The 21407-nt window shown below is 45.0% G+C and overlaps 1 protein-coding gene and 1 pseudogene across 6 annotated transcripts in view, besides 1 other annotated feature; one reads left to right on the forward strand and one right to left on the reverse strand.

Moving 5' to 3' along the window:
* The window catches only part of RGPD8 (RANBP2 like and GRIP domain containing 8), a 65277-nt gene extending 57441 nt beyond the window's left edge, over positions 1 to 7836 (reverse strand). For 5 of the 6 annotated variants that reach the window (NM_001164463.1, XM_005263747.6, XM_011511733.3 and 2 more), the window contains exon 1: positions 7573 to 7836. In NM_001164463.1, the coding sequence (NP_001157935.1) occupies positions 7573 to 7644 (72 nt within the window). In that variant the 5' untranslated portion in view covers positions 7645 to 7836. Of the gene's footprint in view, positions 1 to 6720; positions 6742 to 7572 lie in introns of those variants that run through there. The other variant, XM_024453101.2, reaches the window with a different exon arrangement.
* Positions 8424 to 9402: an enhancer, noted in NCBI's record as "H3K27ac-H3K4me1 hESC enhancer chr2:113191810-113192788 (GRCh37/hg19 assembly coordinates)". NCBI's record gives its function as "activates a minimal SCP1, AML or CMV promoter by ChIP-STARR-seq in primed H9 embryonic stem cells {active_cell/tissue: H9 hESC(primed)}" and the evidence as "EXISTENCE:reporter gene assay evidence [ECO:0000049][PMID:30033119]".
* On the forward strand, positions 13503 to 20759 carry VINAC1P (vinculin/alpha-catenin family member 1, pseudogene; annotated as a pseudogene).

The following is a 21407-nucleotide window of genomic DNA, read 5'->3' on the forward strand; positions in this document are numbered from 1 at the left end:
ATAGAGTATACAGCTACTCAAACATCTTATTTTTGAAATTCCAAGACCCCAGTGAATGTCCAAAACGATGAATAGTACCAAACCAGGTTGCCATCAATCGAAACATGTTTCCTGTTTGTGTCCTCCACCCACAAATTTAATGTCTTGTCCATCTCAACTAAGCACTTATCACACACTGTGGCTGTAACTTTTGCAGTTTGGGGTGTCACAACAAAACTAGCACAAATTTCTTTTTCCTTCTTCACAATTTCATGGACAAAAGATTTGTTCTTACCATAGATCTCAGCAACCCCAGTATATGATCTTTTTTCTTTCCTAAGTCAAAAACTCACCTCTTCACTTAAAGGAAGCACTATATGGCTTCTCTCTGGCATATGTGAACTGCCAGCATCGCTATTCTTGCTCTTTGGTGCCATTTTAAATAAAATAAAGGTCACTTGAACACAAGCACTGCAATACTCCAACAACTGATCTGATAACTGAGGTGGCTAGTATGTAACTAGCGGGTGGGGAGCACATACAGCATGAATATGTTGGACAAAGGGATGATTCGTGTCCTGGGTAGGACGGAGCAGGAGGCCGTGAGATTTTTATCATGTTATTCAGACCTGTTTGCAATTTAAAACTCATGAAATGTTTATTTATATAATCTTCCATTCAATATTTTTGGACCACGGGTGACGCAGGTAAGTAAAACCACGTAAGGCAATACTGTGGATAAGAAGGGACTACTGTACCAGCAACGAACAATCAGAAAATGAAATTAAGAAAGCAATTCCATTTACAATCGCATCTAAAAGAAAAAAATGCCTGGGAATAAATGTAAACAAGGAGGTGAGAGACTTGTATGCTTAAATTACAAAACCTTGCTCAATGCCAGGCTAACACCTGCAATCCCAGCACTGGCGACAGAGCAAGACTCCGTCTCAAAAAAAAAAAGAACTATAGCAATCTTAACAAAAATAATACACAACAGTCAGGACAGCACATAAAGGAACAAGTCCTGTTCCCCCCTTCCTTTTTTTTTTTTTTTTTGAGATGGAGTCTTGCTCTGTCGCCAGGCTGGAGTGCGGTGGCTCGATCTCAGCTCACTGCAACCTCTGCGTCCCGGGTACAAGCTGGGACTACAGGCGCACGCCACCATGCCCAGCTAATTTTTGTATTTTCAGTAGAGATGGGGTTTCACCATGTTGGCCAAGATGGTGTCGATCTCTCGACCTTGTGATCTGACTTCTTCCGCCTCCCAAAGTGCTGGGATTACAGGCATCAGCCACCGAGCCCGGCCAGTTCCCCCTTTTCAAAATGAAGAAATAGATTCAAGGTACAATGCCAAAACATAATAGAAAAATAATTCCATTACCTTCTTTGCTTCCAACTATGTTAAAACATAATAGAAAAATAATTCCATTACCTTCTTTGCTTCCAACTATGTTATTAAAGTAGACAATCTTAAGATAATTAAACAACTTTACAAATTATTCTTCTATATGATCTTTTGCCTCTAACCTGCTCACTTTACAAGGGAACTGAAGCTCAAGCAGACAAATGCCTTGTTTAAAGATATACAGCTAGAAAGGAGCACAGCCCATGTTATGTAAACAGGACAATATCTGATGCAAGCAGTACTTCTTTACATGACAGCAGATGTCACTATAAGCAAATACCTGAATTCACTTAAGCTGCCAAATATCAAGAACTGATGCAGGGCTGAAAACAGGAACAGTAAGACCCTAAGAGATGCCACATCATCGCTATCTTGCACAGTAAGATAGAGATGTAATTGTAATTGTCCAAAACTTAATATTTGTGGCCTACTTTTTCATTATGCAGTTCTAAATTTCTCTCTTTTTTTTTTAATTCAAACGGAGTCTCACCCTGTCGCCCATCTTGCACAGTCAAATGAATCTCCCTCCCCCTAAAATCCTCCAAAAAAGCTGCTGTTCTCAACAAACCCATCTGATCAGCTCCAAATCTGTGGAGTCCCAACAAGGGTGAAGGCCGTGATTATACAGGACAATGAGGAAAAGTCTAGATACTGAACCATGAGTTCCCCAATCTTCTTCCCCTGGAACATAAGGGTAAGGAAATCTCTCAAAAGGCAGAACAAACAAAAGAGGAGAATAAGAGAAAAATTAGAGAAACTCCAGCTTTCAGGTAAACATCATTAAAAAAAAGGGTAAGAAATGGTCAAAGAAATAATACAAGAAATGCTACAGAACTGAAAGAAATGAGTTTCCCAATTGAAAGGACACTTCCAGAAAACCTTTAAGTTACCAAGAACAAGAATCTCATGGGACTCCTAACAACAGAACTTCTAGAAAATGGAGCAATGCTTTCAAAATTGCAAAAAAAATTATTTGAAACTCAGAATTCGATAACCAAATGATCAACTAAATTAAGTAAAGATGTTTTAAAGACATACCATTAGTTTCTAGACCAGCCTGACCAGTATGGTGAAATCCCATCTCTACTAAAAATAGAAAAAATTAGCCGGGCATGGTGGCGCACACCTGTAATCCCGCTACTCGGGAGGCTGAGGCAGGAGAATCACTTGAACCTGGGAGGCGGAGGTTGCGGTGAGCTGAGACCATGCCACTGCACTCCAGCCTGGGCAACAGAGCAAGACTCTGTCCCATAACAAAAACAAACAAAAAAACCTCTCATCCACTTTTCCTCAAAGCAAGTGAGACTATGCTACACCAAAACAAAGAAAGTAAATGAAGAGGACATGAGATACAAGAAACAAAGGGTCTAACTCAGAAAAAAGATGAAGGGAATTCTCAAACTGGTGATAAAGGGAAGTCCCAAGAGCACAGCTGTGTAGCAAAGAGGAAGAAAAACCAATCCGGGTTGGAGAAGTTGGTTAGTAAGGGTATTCCAGGTAGACAGACAATCAATCAATCAATCAATGTTTTAAGCTGAAATTGATGGGATTATGTGACCAGTTTGACCACATTTGAGGGTTTAAATTGCTGAGTTTAAGTAAGCAAGTAGTAACACAACATACAAGCAAACCAAAAAATAAAGCAATTATTCAGTCCAGGAAAACGTGGGTGCAGCACACCAGCATGGCACATGTATACATATGTAACTAACCTGCACAATGTGCACATGTACCCTAAAACTTAAAGTATAATAAAAAAAACAACAAAAAACTGCACAACAAGGGCAATTCAAATGCAAAAATATTTACCTTCTATTTATATAAATGTTAACTATTCATTTAAACAAAAACTGCAGTAACAGTACTGAAAGAATGAGGGGCAAACCAAAGTGTCTGAGGACAGTTTTGGAGGAGCATAATAGCCAGTACAGAATGTCTAAAATGGGGCCGGGCGCGGTGGCTCACGCCTGTAATCCCAGCACTTTGGGAGGCTGAGGCGGGCGGATCATGAGGTCAGGAGATTGAGACTATCCTGGCTAACACGGTGAAACTCCGTCTCTACTAAAAATGCTAAAAAATTAGCCGAGTGTTGTGGCGGGTGCCTGTAGTCCCAGCTACAGGCTGGGGCAGGAGAATGGCGTGAACCCCGGAGGCAGAGTTTGCAGTGAGCCGAGATCGCGACACTGCACTCCAGCCTGGACGATAGAGCCAGACTCCGTCTCAAAAAAAAAAAAAAAAAAAAAAGAAAAGAAAAGAAAATGTCTAAAATGGGAGAAAGGGAATTAAAAATAACAAAAGTATATATGTGTGTTACTCAGAAGTATGAAGTATAGATGTAAAGGGCAGAAAAAACAACTAACAGCTGTCAAAGGTGCCTGCCTGTAGTCCTAAGTACTCAGGAAACAGAGGTAGGAGGATCATTTACGCCCAAAAATTTGATGAGCAACACAGCAAGACCCTATTCTAAAAAACAAATAAATAAAAATAAGAGCTGTCAAGTAGACTTTGAGAAGTAGGAATCAGCTGCAGAATAAGAAATCGACTTGACAGAACATAGAAAAACTAAACAGAAGCCATCGGGAAAAAGAAAAACTAGAGAAAGAATTATATTTTTTTCCTTTTTTCTTTTTTGGAGACAGAGTCTCGCTCTGTCACACAGGCTGGAGTGCAGTGGCGCAATCTCTGCTCACCACAACCTCTGCCTCCAGGGTTCAAGCAATTCTCCTGTCTCAGCCTACCGAGTAGGTGGGACTACAGGCGCTGCCACCACGCCCGGCTCATTTTTGTATTTTTAATAGAGACAGATTTTCACCATATTGGTCAGGCTGGTCTCTCGGCCTCCCAAAGTGCTCGGATTACAGACGAAGAATATTTTTAAGAAGGGCAAAAGCACATGTGAGGGAGTAGAAAAATGGCAAAACAAGAGAAGACTAACAAATGAAAGCACAATGGAAGACTAGAAAGATATGATATACAGACGCATCATCACACACCAAAACTCCGACATTCTAGAAGGCATGGGCAGTTCACAGATGGCCAGCCTCTGCCAAACTGGGGGAGAATACTAACCTCTTCATATTCTTCACAGCCACTGCCTCTTCTCCCTCCATTCTTTACCTTCTATCCAAAGCACCCTGTTTTGTCATTTCACTCAAACCTAACTTTACAGAATAGCTTCACATGTTCCAGTTACTCACTAGTTAATCCATATTCCGCTGAAATCCCCAGGTTCTAATGTAAATGACTTTAAATTTGGGGGGGAAAAAAAGACTCTAAGTGTAAGAGAGGTGGTCATAATAACCAATCGTCAAAATGTTGCTACCACTCCACTTTATTTAATGGAGAAGTTATGTAGTTGAAAGAACATTCTGACTTCTGTCTAGACCAGTGGTTTTTAATCTTTTGGAAGCCAAGGTCCCCACTAAGAATCTCAGAAAGGCTCTAAGGTTGCTTTTTTTTTTTTTTAAGCTTGTTTAAAAAAAAAATCAGGCTGAGCAGAGTGGCTCACACCTGTAATCTCAGCACTTGGGGCCAAGGCGGGAGGATCACTTGAGCCCAGGAGTTGGAGACCAGCCTGGGTAACATGGTAAGACCCCGTCTCTACATTAAAGAAAAAAGCCGGGCATGGTGGCGCATGCCTGTAGTCTCAGCTACCCAGGAGGCTAAGGTGGGAGGACGGATTGAGCCCAGGACGTCAACGCTGCAGTGAGCCACGATCCCGCCACAGCACTCCAGCCTGGGAGACAGAAAGAGACCTTGTCTCAAAAACAAAATAATGGCCGGTGCAGTGGCTCACGCCTATAATCCCAACACTTTGGGAAGTGGAGGCGGGGAAATCACTTGAGCCCAGGAGTTCAAGAACAGCCTGGGCAACATGGTGAAACCCAGTCTCTACCAAAAATACAAAACAAAACAAAACAGCGGGTGTGGTGGGTACACCTGTGGTCCCAACTACTCGGGAGACTGAGGTGGGAGGATCGCTTGAGCTGGGGAGGCGGAAGCTGCAGTGAGTCGAGATAGTGCCACTGCATCCAGCTGGGTGACAGAGTGAGACCCCACCTCAAAAAAAATAAAATAACACAAAAATTAAAGTCTTTAATTTCAGGAGTTACAGGAACCCTCAATTAAGGTCTGTTTTAGACTCTTACCATCACATTCATATTTATACTATGCTAGCAGTTTGAAATTACAACGTACAAGTAGATATCTATCCTTCTCTGGAGGAATAGACTGTAACTTACTGCACTGTTCCCAAGAGAAACTAAATCAGACCCACTGCCAAAATTCTGCTGCACTACCCATTTGACCCTGAACAAGTATCTTAAATCTCTACAGGTCTCAATATCCACAGGGTTGCTGGAAGCGCAAAATAAGATAACCTATGCTTAGTTATGATAAGAGACACAATTATGCTACTATTATAATCATGGTCATCCGTGAGTTTCTGGTTTTTTTTTTTTTTTTCTGGAGTCTCCCTCTGTCGCCCAGGCTGGAGTGCAGTAGCGCGATCTCGGCTCACTAGAACCTCCGCCTCCCGGGTTCAAGCGACTCTCCTGCCTCAGCCTCCCAGGTAGCTGGGACTACAGGCGTGCGCCACCACGTCCGGCTAACTTTATTTGTATTTTTAGTAGAGACAAGGTTTCAACATGTTAGCCAGGCTGGTCTCGAACTCCTGACCTCAGGCAATCCGCCCTCCTCGGCCTCCCAAAGTGGTGGGATTACAGGCGTGAGCCACTGCGCCCGGCCAATATCCTTTTAACATCAACAATAAAAAGTGACTTGTAGCTAACATTTAGTGCTATGTGTCAAGCAATAACCTAAATGTTTAAAATGGATCATCCTATCAAATTCTATCAATGTTACAACTCCATCTATGGATGAAAAGTGTAAGTGGCCCCAAATACCCAGCTTATAAACGACAGTGCTGTGATTATTCAAGCCAAAGCAAACTGACTCAAGATTCTGCGCACATCCACCTTTAATAGCTTCTTCCGTCACTCTTTAGATCCAATGACTAAAGTCTTATTGAATCCAAAATAGATCACATTATTTACCTGTAAAGAGGAAAAATACCCTAAAAACACTTGTGGAAAAGGTTAAAAATTGTAAGCCATACTAACGATTTGTAAGAACTTTAGAATTTTTTTTTTTTAAGCAAAGGCAGCTACCAAAGTGTTCCGGGCGGGGAGGGGGGCGAGGGAGGTGAGTATGAGGAGTGGAGTGGAGCTGGACCCTTACAAAGGGACAGCGACAAACACCTCATACTCAAAACAAGGGGACTTTCCGTGTCATTTGTGCCATCGGGCCATTGCAAATGTCCACGCTGAGATGCCTACCTTGTCACTCGACGCAGCCGCCAAAGCTCACCCGGAGCTGCGTCAGTCCCCACTGGGTTCCTCCAGGCCAAGGAGGTACGACCTCCGCCGCGGCATATAAAGTAAATGTCCAGGACATGGGAAGAAACCCGCCGATACAGCACCCGGGTGCCCAAGCCCCCGAGAACTAGGCCGCGCGGGTACTACGGGGCCAGAAAGCCCGGGCCAGGGCGAGCCCACGAGCGAGCACCGTCGGGAACAAACCGGGAGAAAGAGGAAGAGCCGGCGCCAAAGGTCTCCCGCCCGCCGCGGTCCCCCCAGGACTCTTCCTGCGCTTGCAAGCGCCACGCCGCCCACAGGACTGCGCTAGCCGGCCTCCGCCTCAACAGAGCGCGCCAGGGAGCAGCGCCCTCGGGAGCCATGACCCCTGACCCATCGAGGCCGCCGCCGGGCCGGGTCGAGGCCGCCGCCTCAACAGAGCGCGCCAGGGAGCAGCGCCCTCGGGAGCCATGACCCCTGACCCATCGAGGCCGCCCCCGGGCCGGGTCGAGGCCGCCGCCTCAACAGAGCGCGCCAGGGAGCAGCGCCCTCGGGAGCCATGACCCCTGACCCATCGAGGCCGCCGCCGGGCCGGGTCGAGGCCGCCGCCTCAACAGAGCGCGCCAGGGAGCAGCGCCCGTCGGGAGCCATGACCCCTGACCCATCGAGGCCGCCGCCGGGCCGGGTGGAGGCCGCCGCCTCAACAGAGCGCGCCAGGGAGCAGCGCCCGTCGGGAGCCATGACCCCTGACCCATCGAGGCCGCCGCCGGGCCGGGTCGAGGCCGCCGCCGCCCGGCCGGGTCGAGGCCGCCGCTCTCTTCCAGACCCACTCACCTGTCGAGGCGACGGGGTGAGACCCAGCACCGAGGCGACGTACCGCTCCACATCGGCCTTGCTGCGCCTCATCGCGCCGCCAACCTGGCTCCCGAGACGCGTGCGAGCACCGCTCAGCCCCGCAGCAGTCGCCACTTCCAAGAGGAAAGTGCCTGCAAGCCACTGAAGCAGCGGCGTAGCCGGCGGAGGCCCACTGTGACGAGCGTGCGGCGCCGCCCACGGAGGCCCACTGTGACGAACCTGCGTTCTGCCTCAGCACTGTGTATCCTCGGGGACGTCGGCGCTCCAGCTGCACTCGGCCGGGCTGGTGGCGCCGCCCTGTGGTCTGAGGGTGTCTTGACATGATCTTATCTATAGAAAACCTTAATGAAAGCTCAAAAAAAAAAAAAAAAAGACAAACCATCAGTGATAATAAATGAGTTCAAAGAGATTGTACCATACGAGGTCAACTAAAAAAAATGAGATGTCTACTTATACACCAGCAAGGAACAATTCAAGTAAAATTAAGTAAACAATTCCATTTATAATATTATCAAAAATAATAAAATAATTATGAATAAATTTAACCCAAAAGTGTAAGACTTGTAGACTGGAAACTACAGAACACTGTTGAAAGAAAAGCAAGTGATTCATCCCCCGGTGCCAAACAGCAGACGCAGGTGTTACCAGTCTGGTGGGGCGCCCGAGCTGGGGACCTGGGGTCCTCTGGGAGGGGCAAGAAGGCAGCGATGCTGGCCCCCGCCTCCATCTGCCCATCCCATCTGCATCCACACACCGCCCTGCGGTAGCTGCTTGCAGCCCTTCTCTGTCAGTTTCTCCATTATCTTCTGGTTTGGTGATAAATGAGAGTTCCCATCGGGGGTGCCACCCTCTGTGTGACGGGGAGCAGAGAAGACCCTGCATCTGAGTCCTTCTGGGGGAAGAGCGAAAATGCTGGGACCAGCCCCAGCTGTCAGGGGGTCTCCAATCCCAGCAGGGAGGCCCCACGCATGGCTAGGATGCCCCAGACCCCAGGGACTGCACGAAGTGGAAAGGAGGGCCCCCGGTCCTAACTAAGGGTTCAGACCCCCGCAACACACATCCAGGCACACCCCCACCCCCTAGGCCTGGTTCTAGGTCTGCCAGCTCCGAGAAGGCCCCTAACAATGGTGCAGTCGCAGGGGCTGTGTCCCAGGCCGGGCTCACGCCCAGTCCCGCTGCCCCGGGGGTAGATGGGGCCCCTGGCCCGCGCGCTGTGGAGCCCTGGAGTGTCTGTGCGCCCCTTCCTTGGAGGGCAGCCGCTGAGGGGCTGCTGCGGGACTGGGGAGCCTCCTGGCAGCAAGCGCTCCCAATGCGTAGCGGGACGCTGTGATGGGGACAAGATCCTGGCTTTGAAGAAAGCCCTTTCCACCCTGTCCATGTGGGGGTCTCCCGGTGCCCCTGAGCCAGCGGCCCCCTCCTGCAGGCTCCGGAGGACTCCCCTGCCTGCATCTGGTCTCGCATTTCCTCCGTGACCTCCAAGCTCCCACTGGGGGCACACGGCTGCCCTGCTGACCCCAACTCTGGCCCTGTGCCGGTGGTGGGCAGCATCTGGCACGGGGGAGGCGCCGTTTCTTCCACACTCGCGCGTCCTCAGCCCAGATCATCCGGTGAAGTTTCCCCAGCAAGTGGCTCCCCCTGCCCCCTCCACCCTGCCAAGTGTGGTCCCTGGGCCCCCGCCTTCCCTTCTCGGCCTCTGCCCCTGGGTCTGGGGCCTGCATCCAGCCATCCACGCTCAGGGAGGCCACCTCCTCCCTCGCTCTCGACCACCACAAAGCTGCCCGGGACCTTGTTCTATCCTTTCCAAAAGTCCTCAGGACCTGCCTGTCTACGGAGCTCCCAAAACGCCCTGTGAGCTCTCCCGGGCCCCTCCTCTCCTTGCTAATAATGTCCCACACGGTGCTGCCTGCCTGGCCCCAAAAGAAAAGGACCCTGGAGTGAGTTCTGAACACAAACTCGATGAAAGTGGCCCCCTGCTCCACCTGCCGAGTCGGCCCCTCCTCAGACTCTCCCCTTGGGCAGGGAAACCTGCCGGGGCCTGACTGTTTCTTCCTGAAACAGCCTCAGGCTGGAAGGAGAGGGATCCACCCTTGGCCATTGAAGCATTCAGCAGGAATCAGCCCTCGGGGACCAAGACCCTGTGACCAGCCCCGCCCCACAGGCGCCGGTCCTGGGCAGCCTCCCTTGCTCAGGCCACGCTGCTCCCAAGAAGCCAGGATGAGCAGCTCGCAATAGGCCCCCCAACACGCAGAGTGCCACGCGGAGGACGGGGGCACCCCAGAAAACTGCAGACACTGCATGTCCTCTGGGAGCCCCGGCCCTGGGAGACGATGTGCAGTGGCTCCAGCTCTGACCTCATGAGCCCAAGCTCCGCTACACACTGGGTCCTGACCTGACCTGGGTCCCTGGGGCTCTCCGGCCAGGCCTCTCCCGGTGCCTCCCGCCCCTGAGGCCGCCACCCAGCATCCAGGCCCCTGTGTAGTCATCCCCTCTTCAGGAATCTGGGTCATGGCTGCAGGATAGGGGCTACCCAGAGCAGGATGTGGAGGGAGGGGCCGCAAAAGCTGGAGAGAATCTACAAGGCACTATTTAGCCACCTGCCCTTGATTCTAATTCTCAGTGACGAGATTCTTTGCTTGGCCAAACTCTATCAGGCCCTTGAACCTTCTAGGCCACCTGCACACTTCCTTGCAAAATCCGGTTTTAGCAAGAACACTGCTAAGTGACTTCAGCCAGAACTGCCCCGCCCCGTATCTGATCATCCTCGTCAGGGCAGCCTGCTCGTCCTCGGGCACCCAGGTGATGACGAATGACCCTGCCTCCCTTCAGCCAGAACCCCCCACCCCTGCTGTTTGTTCTTAGTGATGTTCCATCCGAGGACCCCACTCTGCTCCTGGGCTATCAAATCCCACTTGCTGGAGCCATATTCAGAGTGGAGCCTAAATCTCTCTCCACCACTGCAAAATCCCACTGCCCTGGTCCCAGCACCCACCGCACTGGTCCTGAGTAGTCCGCTTCCAGTCTTTAGCAAACATCATTGAATAAATCTCCTTTCATGTCAGGCACACCCTTAAATGCAGACACGTGTGTCCTGGGAGGATTACCAACACTCCCCCGGCCCTGCACATCAGCTGTGGAAGGTGAGATTGGGAAGTGCTGGCCTCCTCGCCAAGGCTTCAGCCTCCATTTCTGCTTTTCAGGTCATGTTCGAACACTGGGGGTCCCAGGAGACCCACCCAGACCAGGCCCCTCTCAGGGTGGGAAGAGCGTGGAGCAAGAGGAGGAGGCTCGGCCCAGAACGTTGGCCACAGGCTGACCCGTGCAGGGGGCAAGGGCTTAAGACGGCCCCATCTTCCACTCCAAGTGTGGTCTCAATCTTGTTGGCCAGTTTATGAAAGTCAAGCCTATTGACTCAGTCAGGGTCTTGGCAGGAAGGAGGCCAGGGCGCAGACAGAGATAGGGATCGCTCCAGGGGTGTGTGGCCCCGGGCTGTGGGGTAGTCCTGGAGCACCTCCACCCCAGCCTGCAGAACACCCAGGCGGAGCAGGAGCAGAGCTGGGCTGTGTAGGGGTTAGGGGACACGGCCAGCCCGCAACCCCAGCTCCCCTCCATCTGCCTCCAGTTTCCAGCCAGGGCCCCCTCTGCCAAACCTGGCCCAAGGCAGGGGCCAGGGCTCTGTCTACTGGGGCCACAGGGAGGGTGGGGAGGGGGCCGGAGCTTCCAGGGCAAGGGAAGGGGCCACCCCCACCCCGTCACGCGCATAGAGGAGGAGGAGGAGCCCACACTGCCCCAGTGTCCACCCCACGCCTACACCAGCCCCACATGAGCTCGGGGGTCTCTGGGGGTCAGTGTCTGTAGCTACAGATGTGAGCATGCATGCGGGTGTGCAGGACCTTTGACCGCAGCCTCCCATGCACCCCTGGAAAGGTGCCTTGCCTCTCTCCCTCACTCGCCATGTGCAGGGCAGTGGGCGAGTCCCAGCCAGCATGGGCACCCCGCATTTCTCTGCTTCTGCAGCCCCGACTGACCAAGGCCCCCCAAGTGGGCTCCAGCCCTCCAGGCACCTCCCCGTGCCGTGGTGCCCGCCACAGGGCCTGGTCTCAGGGCTCCTCCAGGACTGGCCAAGTCCCCAGGCTCCTCCCCCGCCCACGGGGGGCGAGGTGCACAGCACTGACGGGCCCCTGGGCCACTCATCTGAACTCTTGAGTCCTCCTAGAGCGGTGATCCCAGCCGGGCAGTTAGCTTGAGCAAGCCGAGTACTTACAGAACGTCACCAAACACAAGGTCCCAGCCCACATTCCATGACCTCAGCACTGCTGACGACGTCCTCCTGAGTCCATGAACTTCTTGACGGTTCTCATGGCCTCCTCTGGGAAGTCAGGCAGGGTTCTATGCAGGAGCCGACCCTCACAGGGCTACCACAGGCCTGTGCGGACCCCAAGAGCCAGGAAGCCGCCTGCCGATGGTCCCTCTTAGGGACTGGATCGCGGGCAGCTCAGACGGCACAGAGTGCTTTCCTCCTTTGGAAATTAAAGACAGCACATGCTCATTTATCTCACACTCTTTTGTAAGAATTACAAATTAACTCGTATTAATACTAAGAGTATTAATTATCGCTAATTAGAAATAAGCTGAGAAAGATAAAGTACTATACAAATGTTGGCCGCTGAATGGCTACAGGGACACATGAAGTCAAAACAGTATCAGGTCTTTCTATGTCTGCGGCAGAATGCCAAAGCCCTGACACACACCCTTTTAGCAGCTTTAAGTCACTTCTGCAAGTGAGTACTAGGAGATCGTCCCTTACTCCTGATCTCTGCTCTCAGGGGGCCACTTCAGCATAAGCCTTCCACCCTCCACAGATAACCTCAGGTTCTCCTCAAGCCTCTAGATCTTATTTGACATTTTATTACAGGTAGCAACTTCTCGTGGCCTGTTCTTCCTCTTCAAAGCACATTACTCTGACCTCTGTTTCCATCCTCACATTCCTTTCTCCTCTTTCTGATCCTCCTACATCCCTCTTATAAGGACGATTGTGACTCCCTCGGGCCCCCAGATCATCCAGGATCATCTCCCATCTAAAGGTTCTTAACCATATTTGCAAAGTCCGTTTGCCATGTAAGTAACATATTCACAGGTTTTGGGGATTAGGATCTGGACATATTTGGGGGCCATTATTCAGCCCACCACATGTCCTTCTTACACGCCTCCATCCTTTCTTTTCCTTCTGGTGCTACAAGATGTTCCAGCCTTATTTTGTGTATTCCTGGCTCCAGACCTAGAATTTCTCAGGCGTTTCTCCAGAAATACTGGGGTGTCACTGCTTCTAGGGCTTCTCAGAAGACAGAGCGAAAAAATATAGCTAAACACAGATTAGTGTATTATACATGTGTATACATAGACACGCACACATTCATACTGATACCTCCCACTCTACTCCACAGGGCTTATTCTAACTTCCCCCCTTGCTTATTTGTAACTTTTTTCTCTGAGAGTGAGACTCCGACTTTCATTATCTACAACATATTTATGTATTTATTATACTTGTAGTTTCAAAATTACTGAGAAACAAATTTACTACCTAGAATACTGTGTTAATATACAATTTTCTTTAGTTTTACAGTATCCAGTCAAAAGGCTGTCTTCCAAAGTTGCTTAGGTCAGCTCCTTCTCCATGCAACTCTTTCAGTGAGGCTGTATCATGCGTTTGTAATATTGTTAGATTCATTTGTTATAGCCTGCTTTCTCCACAGGACTTCCTAACAGCCTATTTCTTTTCTTTTTTTTTTTTTTTTGAGATGGAGTCTTGCTCTGTCACCAGGCTGGAGTGCAATGGCACTATCTTGGCTCACTTGCAGCCTCCGCCTCCTGGGTTCAAGCGATTCTCCTGCCTCAGCCTCCGGAGTAGCTGGGACTACAGGCGCCCGCCACCACGCCCAGCTAATTTTTGTATTTTTAGTAGAGATGGGGTTTCACCATGCTGGCCAGGCTGGTCTTGAACTCCCGACCTCAGGCGATCCACCTGCCTCCGCCTCCCAAAATGCTGAGTTTACAGGCATGAGCCACCCGTCCGGCCAGCCTGGTTCATTTTTCAAATTTGCGTGCACTAAAGTCCACTCTTTGTGGTGTACAGATCCATGTGTAGTTGTGTGTTTCTGGGCTTTTTATTCTGTTCCAGTGGTCAATCTGTCTCTTCATATGACAGTATCACACACTTTCCTAAAAGAGGATCTAGAAGTGTTTTTAATACCTGACAAGCTATTCTCTCGCTCTCCATAGCTTTTTATTCCAGGGTTCTCCTAGTTGTTCTTATGTTTAATTTTTTTCATATGGACTTTGGTATCAACTTTTCAAACTCCATTTAAAAAAGAAAGCTTGTGGAATTTTTATAGGATTGCACTAAATTGATGGTGTTGCTAAGATTCAAACATAGGCAGTTTGCTCCAACACCTACATGAAGTTTTGGGCGAAAAAGAAAAAAGTAACATTTTTGTAGTGGTATTCAGTTTTTATTAATAGAGTTCGGTTTTGTTGTTATAACTAGGCTACTTTGTATTAACCCTGGAATTGAAACTTATTATGAAAATAATTTGCATGTAGGTTTACTAATAAAGAATCAGGCTCAAATGCACTAAAAGACAGACATGAAAATTGTGTTTAGACTACTCTGAAAATTCTTATCCCTATAATAGAAAATAATTCATCTGTGAAATGAAATAATAATCTAGAAACCCTCTGATGGCACGTAGAACTTGTTCTCAGTGGAAAACTCAGTCAACTAATTCTCAAATGTTTGCATACTTAAATTATACCCCAAGTAATAAATAACAACTTATTAAATAAATTTGCTTTGTGTCTTTGTGTCTTATTAATTTTTTTCTCATCTGACTTCTTTCCAAAAGCACTTAAAAAGATTATAATAAGTCTCTAGTTACACTTTCCTTCTTCTGCAAATTTGTCAGAGTGAAAATTTATTGTGTTCTTTGAAAGAATTACCTTTTGACCGCTTGCACGAAGTCTTCACAAGCTTTCGCCAATTCCTCAGCCATCTTCTCCAACGAGGCAAATACTTCATTCTCCACTTCTTTCCTCTCCATTGAGATGAGCAGATGGCAAAGCTGAACGATCATTGGTGAGATGATTCTCTCAATGCCTTTGTTCTGTATCACAGAGCTGATGTCATCCAAGAGGAAAGACTCCATCTCTCTTAGTCTGTGAACAGAAGTTACAACACAGTTTAACTCACACTGACTGACATGTAAACCTACTTCTCTTTGACTTGATGTTCATCTAATTTTACTTCTATCATGAGAAAGAAATCTGCAAAATATCAAAGGGATAAGTTGGGGGAGATATTTTTAGGACCTCACAAGTATGGGATAGGTTGTGGCTTAGCAGAAACATTAAAAAATGGGACAAAGGCACAATGAGATAGATTCAGAGGTTCAAACAATGGCGAATGGACTCACAAACTATATGAAATAGAGGCAGTTTAAGAAATGGTTAATTGACAAAGAAACATTGAACTTAAATAGGACTTTACAGACATTTACAGAACACTCTACCAAACAACTGCAGAATATACATTCTTCTCATCAGCACGTGGAATATTCTCCAACACAAACCTCTATCAAGCCACAAAACAAATTTTTCTTTTTTTTTTTTTTTTGAGACAAAGTCTCGCTCTTGCCTCCCAGGCTGGAGTGCAATGGCGCGATCTCAGCTCACTGCAACCTCCACCTCCCAGGTTCAAGCGATTCTCCTGCCTCAGCCTCCTGAGTAGCTGGGATTACAGGCACCTGCCACCACGCCTGGCTAATTTTTGTATTTTTAGTAGAGACAGGGTTTCACCGTGTTGGCCAAGCTGGTCTCAAACTCCTGACTACAGGTGATCCACCCGCCTCAGACTCCCAAAGTGCAGGGATTACAGGCGTGAGCCACAGTGCCCGGTCAAAACAAATTTTTAAAAATTAAAATCACATCAAGTTCTTCTCAGACCACAGTGGAATTAAAACTAGAAATAAATACCAAGAGGAACTTTGGAAACTATACAAATACATGGAAATTAAGCTACATGCTCCTGAATGATCATTGCATCAAGAAATTAAGATAGAAATGTAAAAAAAATTTTTTTAATTTTTTTGAGACGGATTTTTGCTCTTGTTGCCCAGGATGGAGTGCAATGGCACGGTCTTGGCTCACCGCAACTGCTGCCTTCCAGGTTCAAGCACTCCCGCTGCCTCAGCCTCCCAAGCAGCTGGGATTACAGTCATGTGCCATCACAATGGCTAATTCTGTATTTTTAGTAGAGACAGGGTTTCTTCATGTTGGTCAGGCTGGTCTCGAACTCCTGACCTCAGGTGATCCACCCGCCTCGGCCTCCCAGACCACGGGGATTACAGGCATGAGCCAACATGCCCAGCTGGAAATTTAAAAATTTTTTGAAACAAATAAAAATGAAAACAAAACATACCAAAACCTTTGGGATACAGCAAAAGCAGTGCTGAGTAAAGTTTATAGTATTAAATGCCTACATCAAAAAAAAGAAAGATTACAAGTTAACAACCTAACATCACACATCAAGAAGCTATAAAAGCAAGAACAAACCAAATGGAAAGTTAGCAGAAGAAAAGAAGTAACAAAGATCAGAGCAGAGCTAAATGAAATACAGATAAAAAAATACAAAGGATCAATGAAATGAAAAGTTTGTTTTTCAAAAAGATAAACAGATTAATAAGCCACTAGCTAGACTAACCAAGAAAAGAGAAAATCTGAATAAACAAAATCAGAAAAGATAAAGGAGACATTACAACTGATAACATGGAAATACAAGAGATCATCAGAGACTATTATGAACAACTATAAGCTTACAAACCAGAAAACTTAGAGGAAGTGAATAAATTCCTAGAAACATGCAACCTCCCAATATTGAACCAGGAAGAAACAGTAAACCTAAGCAGATGAATAATGAATAGCTAGATTAAATCAGTAATAAAAGATCTCCCAAGAAAGAAAAGCCCAGGACCAGATGGATTCATAGTTGAATTTTATCAAATGTACAAAGAAGAACTAATACAAGTCCTCCTGAAACTGTTTCAAAAAAAATTTGAGGAGAAATGAGTCCTCTCTAACTCATACTATGAGACCAGTAATACCTTATACCAAAATCAGAGAGACCATGACACATAAGGAAAGAAAACTCCACACCAATATCCCTGATCAACATAGATGCAAAAATTTTCAAAAAATACTAGCAAACCAAATCCAACAGCACATCAAAAAGTAATACCCCATGGTCAAGTGGGATTCATCCCAGGGTTGCAAAGGATGCTTCAACATATGCAAATCAATAAATAAATTTGATTCATCTTATCAACAGAATTAGAGACAATAAACCATATGATCATCTCAATAAATGCAGAGAAAGCATTTGGTAAAATTCAGCATCTCTTCATGATAAAAACCTTCAATAAACTAGGTATAGAAGGAACATACTCTGAATTAATAAAAACCATATATAACAAACCCACTGCCAACATCATACTGAATGGGGAAAAGCTGAAAGCATTCTAAGTACTGAAACAAAACAAGGTTGCCTACTTTCACCACTCCTATTCAACATATTAATTAGTACTGGAAGTCCTAGCCAGAGCAATCAGGCAAGAGAAAGAAATAAAAGGCATCCAAATTGTAAAAGAAGTCAAAATATTCCTGTTCACTGATGATATGATTCTATATCTAGCAAAACCTAAAGACTCCACCAAAAAACTCTTAGACTTGATAAATGAATTCAGTAACACTTAAGAATACAAAATCAATGTATAAAAATCAGTAGTGTTTCTATACACCAATGAGGATCTAGCTGAGAACAAAATCAAGAAGGCAATCTCATATATAATAGCTTCAAAAATAAAATAAAATAAAATACCAAGTAACCAAGGAGGTGAAAGATCTAAACAAGGAAAACTACATAACTCTGATGAAAGAAACTGTAGATGACACAACCAAATAGAAAGATATCCCATGCTCATTGGTCAGATTTAATATCATTAAAATGATCATACTGCCCCATGCAATCTACATATTCAATGGGATCTCTATCAAAATACCAATGTCATTTTTCAAAGAATTAGAAAAAACATGCTAAAATTAACATGTAACCAAAAAAGAGCCGGAATAGCCAAAGCAATTATAAAACAACAACAACAAAGCTAAAGCTGTCACATTACCAGACTTCAAATTATAATACAAGGCTGTAGTAACCAAAACAGTATGATACTCGTACAAAAATAGACACATAGATCAATGGAATAGAAAAGAGAATCCAGAAATAAAGCCACATATTACAGCCAACTGATATTTGACAAAATCAACAAGAACATACAGTGGAGAAAGGACACCCTTTTCAATAAATGATGCTGGGATAATTGGATTGGCATCTGCAGACGAAAGAAACTGGACCACCATCTTTTACCATATAAAAAAATCAACTCAAGATGGATTAAAGATTTAAATGTAAGATCCGAAACTACAAAAACACTAGAAGAAAATCTGGGGAAAACTCTTCTGGACATTGATCTAGGCAAAAAATTGATGACAAAGACCTCAAAAGCACAGACAACAAAAACAAAAATAGGCAAATGGGACTTAATTAAACTAAAAGGCTTCTGCACAGCAAAAGAAATAATCATCAGAGTGAACAGACAACCTGGAGAATGGGAGAAAATATTTACAAACTATGTATGACAGGGGACTAATGTCCAGAATTTACAAGGAACTCAAACAATGCAACAACAACAACAACAAAATAGAAAACAATCCCATTAAACAATAGGCAAAGGACATGAATAGACACTTTTGAAAGAAGACATACAAATGGCCAAGAGGCATATGAAAAAATGCTTAACATCACAAATCACCAGAGAAATGCTAATTAAAACCACAATGAGATATCATTATACATCAGTCAGAATGACTATTATTAAAAAGACAAAAATAACAAATGTTGGCAAGAGTATAGAGAAAAGGTCATACACTTTTGGTGAGAATGTAAATTAGTACAACCTCTATGGAAATCAGTATGGAGATTTCTCGGAGAACTGAAAATAGAACTACCATTCAATCTAGCAATACCACAACTGGGCATCTACCCAAAGGAAAAGAAATCATTATATCAAAAAGATAACTGCACTCATATGTTTATCACAGCATTATTCACAATAGCAAAGATATGGAATCAGCCAGGTGCTGTGGCTTACACCTGTAATCCCAGTACTTTGAGAGGCTGAGGCAGGTGGATCACTTGAGGCCAGGAGTTGAGACCAGCCTGGCCAACATGGTGAAAACCCATCTCTACTAAACATACAAAAAAAAAAAAAAAATCAGCCAGGCGTGGTGGTGCATGCCTGTAATCCCAGCTACTCTGATGGCTGAGGCACAAGAATAGCTTGAACCCAGAAGGGGGAGGTTACAGTGAGCCAAGATCACGCCATTGCACCCCAGCCTGGGCGACAGAACAAGACTCTGTCAAAAAAAAAAAAAAAAAAGATAGGGAATTAACCTATGTATCCATCAACAGATGATTGGATAAAGAAAATGTGGTACATATACACAATGGAATTCTATTCAGTCATAAAAAGAGAATGAAGTCATGTCTTTGGCAGCAACATGAATGAAACTGGAAGCCATTATCTTAAGTGAAAAAAGTCAGACATAGACAAATTCTGCATGTTCTCACTTACAGGTGGGAGCTAAATAATGTGTACACATGGACATAGAGTGTGGAGTGATAGACAGTGTTGACTTGGAAGAGTGAGGGGGTGGGAGGGGAGTTGATGGTGAGAAATTACTTAATAGGTAAAAATGTGTGTTATTCAGATGATGTATACCCAACAAAGCCCTGACAAGGATTTTGAAGCAGATGTCATGAACATACTTCAACAAGTAATTGAACACACTTAAATTTTGAAAATTACAATTCAAGAAAAAAAAGACATAGAAGGAAAAAATTTGAAATTTTAGAACTGAAAATATAATTAAAATAAATTCATTGAATGGGCTCAATAGCAGAATGGAGATGACAGAGGAAAGTCAATTAATTTGAAGATAGATTATTACAAGTTTCTCAAACTGAACGACAAAAAGAAAATAGCTGGAAAAGAAATGAACAGAGATCCAGGAACTTGTGGGACAATAAGAAAATAGCTAACATTTTCAAGGGCTAAAATAAAAGAACTGTTCATCCTAATTCTATACCCAGCGAACTATACTGCAGGAATGAAGGGGAAATAAAAACATTTCTTGTCAAAATATAAACAAAAGTTACCCAGAAGAAACACAAAGCCTGAATGAATTATTAGCTATAGAGAGAGTGAAATAATAAAGGCCTATATTTTAAAAGGTCATAGATCCAGAAGATTTTAATCCCTGAATTCTTTCTGGCCTTTAAAGAAGGAACAATTCTTACAATGTCTAAACAATTTCAGTACTTGGAAAAAGTGCAAAGCTTCATTGTTTATCTTATAAGGCTAACATTGCTTTAATTTTTAAAACTAGTAAGAAATATCAAAAAATTAGAGTATATACCATTTTTATAAAGGGATACAGACACAAAAATTATAATCAAATTATTAGAATATGAAATCCAATGATATGGAAAAAGAATAGTACTCCTTAACTAATCAGGGTTTGAGGAATGAGAGGGTGCTTCAACATTACAAACTCAACTGACCAGGATTCCTTGGACAAATGGCTGATTCAAGGACTGCAGCAGGAATAGAGAAGGTAAGCACAGAATCTCTTGAAATGACAGGAAATAAAGAAGTGCTCCCAAACAAAACCAAACGCACTTTGATGGAGGTTTGTCAAAGGCACACAGGAGCAAGTGAAAGAACTTCCAGTGGCCAAAGGAGGCATGATTGGAGCAACACCATAAAGTAACACTGGATTCTAACCCAAAGTATGAAATAAGTATCTATGAACAATGATTGAGAAAATAAATAAATAGGGGAGACAAACCTCCCATGCAGAGGAATTCTAAATGATTGATGTCGATATTTCACCCTCAAACAGTGGAGAGCATAACTCTCCCATCCTTAAGTGTGGGCTGGAAAGGGATCGGGATCCCGATCCACACCCTAAGAGAGGATTCTTGAATCTTGCACAAGAAAGAATTCAGGATGAATCTGCAGTGCAAAGCAAAAGCAAGTTTATTAAAGAAAGTAAAGTAGTGAAAGCACAGCTACTCCACAGACAGAGCAGGGCGTTCCTGAAAGCAAAAGGAGGAACGCTTCCACCGTAGATACAATGTTGGTATACACACACACACACACACACACACACACACACACACACACGATAAATACATACATATATGTATATATGAGCTAAATACATACATATATGTATATATGAGATAAATACATACATATATGTATATATGAGATAAATACATACATATATGTATATATGAGATACATACATATATGTATATATGAGATACATACATATATGTATATGAGATAAATACATACATATATGTATATATGAGATAAATACATACATATATGTATATATGAGATAAATACATACATATGTGTATATATATACACACACATATGTATATATATATGATAAAAAAAGATATTGGGGAGATGTGCTCTGCTACAGGGGTTTGTGATAAAGCATTAATTGTCCTAATTACTGTATTTTGCAAGAATCGATATGTTTAAAGCAAAATTAGGAATGCCCTTGTTCTCCAGATATTGGGATATCTGGACACTCCCGAGTCTGCATCTGTTTAGTAAACATTATTAATC

This window comes from Homo sapiens, chromosome 2, assembly GCF_000001405.40.
Source record: "Homo sapiens chromosome 2, GRCh38.p14 Primary Assembly".
NCBI classification, from domain to species: Eukaryota; Metazoa; Chordata; class Mammalia; order Primates; family Hominidae; genus Homo; species Homo sapiens.